The 3,296-nt window shown below is 43.3% G+C and overlaps 1 annotated feature.

Annotated features, from left to right (window-relative positions):
* Nucleotides 1,126–2,325: an enhancer, noted in NCBI's record as "BRD4-independent group 4 enhancer chr1:64868467-64869666 (GRCh37/hg19 assembly coordinates)". NCBI's record gives its function as "activates an origin of replication core promoter dependent on BRD2, P300/CBP, MED14 and CDK7 cofactors, and independent of BRD4, by STARR-seq in HCT116 cells {active_cell/tissue: HCT116}" and the evidence as "EXISTENCE:reporter gene assay evidence [ECO:0000049][PMID:35650434]".

The raw sequence follows: 3,296 nt of genomic DNA, 5'->3' as shown, positions 1-3,296 counted from the left end.
ATGACAGACTGATCATAATCTCTGGTCTACAAGCAGAGAGCTGCCATGACTCTTAATTACACGTAAATAAGCAAGGTTTATGGAGTGTTGTGTAGCAGATAAAAATGTTAAAAATATAGGAAGAACAAGTTTTCACCAACTCTGTTGTTTGTTGGTGAAAATGACTCCAGGAAACCCACTAACTAATGCAGTATAACCTGCAAACCATAGGGAACTCAAAAGAACCCAAACAATAACATTGAGGCTTAGCACTCATGGTGCACTCCTTCTGTGGCTAGGTTGACCTTTTATGTGGCAAGAGAAATCCTTCCAATATTTTGTGGTCCTGGCAACCTCCAGTAGTCAATGTTACAATATAGCTGTGGGCAAAGCCACAGGTGAAGGTCAAGGACAGGGCTAGGACAAGCATTTACAGAGAGGCTGGAAAGTATGCATGGGGAGAAGGAAGCAAGAGGGCAGATGAGGGTAGGTGGAGAGGAATGGGAGTGTAATGTTTGGAGCAGGAAGCAGAGTTCTTCCAAAACATGATGCAGGATTGAAGTCTTACAGCCAGAAAGAAAATAGTTTCTTGGAAATAATGGCATCCACCAAAAGGCCAAGGCAAAGAACCCAATGGAGATAATAAGTCATGAAGGTTGAAGCCAAGGGGGTGAGTGAAGCCATGAGGAGTAGATTCCAGGAACAGGGCTGGGTTGGAGCTGTCTTAGGAGACCCAGTGGAGGAACAGGCAGGGAGGTCTGTGCTTGCTCACAGTGGTCAGACAAAACACTTTGTGGCAAGGAACATCTCTTTCAGACGGGGACAGAGATATTTCAGCTGACAAATGAGAAATTAACACCAGATGGCTCCAAAAGACATGCTTCTCACATCTTGCTGATTTTTTCTACCTTAGGAGGAAGAAAGTTGAGCAGTAAGGTAATGTCTACCCTCTAAACAAGGCTTCAAGTCTGTTTCATGAAGCACATCTTGTAATATGCTCAACAACAAGTATTCTGTGGTCAAATTCGTTTTAAAAATGCAACATACACAACTTTGTAATTTGCAATGCACATTAGTATATCAAAAGTTCTGAGAAGTCCTGCAGTAAAGAGACCTATTTAACTTGGTTAACCTTGTTTAATGCAGTGTTTCTCAAAATTGCTTGACCACAGAACATTCTTCTTCCATAACACCTGTTAATTTCCTGAGGGATCCTTGTTCTGAGCAGCACACTTTGAGAAATGTTTTTCTAGAACTTGTATTCTTTTTTTTTTTCTAGAACTTTTGGTCCTGTGGACTCAAGGCAAACCCTATCTTGATCCAACTCCAGGGAAATCACAGGAAACACTTGCTTTTGTTGTATAAATGAATTATCCTCAGGTGCTCACACAACACTTCCAGAGAAAGCCCTTGTTACTTATTTATTTAAAATAACTATTTACAAAAAAGGATTTGAAGTGGCGTGTGTGTGTGGTGAGTTGTCATCTGAGTCTGGAGAGTGGTGGTCAGCACAGTCATTCAGTTTCATTGATTTATGTTTCAGAAGCAGTAATGACATGAGTGGTCATGATAAACCAGGCAGTGGGTGCCACATACTCGGAGGATGAGATACATCATTCTCTAACTCTGGCCATTAATCACAGGGGAATGTGGCAATGTGGTGGTTGCTTATACAAAGTGAACAGAATTTCTGATTCCAAATTCGTCAAACTCAGCCTCTGAAAATGGTGATCAAGTTTTTGGAGTCTGACCATCCCTGCATTGCAAATAACTGCCACACATGTCTGCAATTGCTGTGACTGTAGGGAACCAGCAGTTCCTAAAGCTTTTTGTGTGCTGGGAATCGGCCTCAACACACAATTTTTTAAGTAAAGAAAAGCAGTCAATATGGGATTTTGGGCAAGGCTTCAGGTCCCTTGGCATATGTGACACTATCCTGCAGACTTTTCAATAGCAGCATTCTGTGTTTGAAGCAGATTACTCAGGTTGCTGTTGAGGGCCACATGCCCCCTCCATCTTCTGCCTCCGCAGGGAGAAGCTCTACTTAGTGGACAAAGGGTATTTTACATGACCCACCTCTTGCTCAGAATGAGGGTGCCTTTGCGTGCGGGACTGAGGGACTGATGATGAGTGTGTCTTTTCCAGAGTGGGCCAGGGTGACCTGAGGGTGGCTCATGAGCTGGCTCAGGCATAAGCCTTGGCCCTATGACAGAACAATGCCTGGTTACTTGTAACTTCCTTTCTGGAGCCTTTACTCCCAATTATATTTAGATAGAAGTGGGTTTTTTTTTTTTTTTTTGTAATGCGACTGAAGGTTGTAAAGGGGAGAGACAGTCTTTCAGCATAAAAACAAGGGTAGCTATGCTAGCAAGAGGTTAGCCTCAGGATAAGAGGCCTTTACAGATTTTTTGGAAAAGATATTTCAAATAAGACCAAGTCATTATGAGGAATACTTTCCTGCCATTTCTTCCAGATCTCCTCAGGTCCTCACCTTCATTTTTCTATATTAATCAGCAGCTCCTGAAAGAGGAGATGACTCAGAGGCCGAACACCAGAGGAGGCAGGATTTTGGTGGAAAGGGGCTGGAATTAAAAGGACTGAGAAACTACGGAAGGTCTAAAGTAGAGAGGCTGAAGGATAGGGTGGATGGAGAAGGCCCCATGCTGACTGAAGGTGCTGTGATCTAAGAACACAGATGTGATCAAGCAGCTCAAAGACATGGGGCAAAGAGGTTTCCTGGTGTTGAAACTGCTTGAGAAAGTGTTGAAAGGTAAATTGAGATCTATGGTAGTGAAACAGTCAGGGCAAGAAACCCTAACCACTGAGGAGAATCCAGTACTGAAGGGAGGTGGCATGGGGCAGGTAGGGTCCTCTGTTATGTTTCCAAGTGATACTTGGCTGTTGAGAGAGGGCCTGTGTGTACAACCCCACTCTAAGCACTAGATCCCCATCATCCCTGCACATGGCCTCTGCTCTCCTGCACTGGGAAGATTCAAGTACATAAAAGGTAGAATGGAAGATGGTGAACAAAACGATGGTTATGGAAAGGGAGGTGGAAGTGGAAGAATTTGGGGAATTTGGGTCATTGGGATGGGCATGAACATCGACTATGGGTGGAGGGTGAAACTGACCATCTACAAGTTTGCAAAGCTGAACATTGGTGTTAGCATCTCGATGGACATTTTGTTGTTATCTTGCAAAAGGTTGATGGTAAAGATTGGAAAGATGTTTAAACACACACACATGCACACACACACATACATATTCTATAAAGACACAGCTCTTTGGGGTTCATGGAACTTCTTGCTTCTGCAGTA

Source organism: Homo sapiens, chromosome 1 (assembly GCF_000001405.40).
Source record: "Homo sapiens chromosome 1, GRCh38.p14 Primary Assembly".
NCBI lineage: Eukaryota > Metazoa > Chordata > Mammalia > Primates > Hominidae > Homo > Homo sapiens.
Note: the sequence above shows the minus strand (reverse complement) of the source record. Positions and strands in the feature narration are given on the sequence as shown.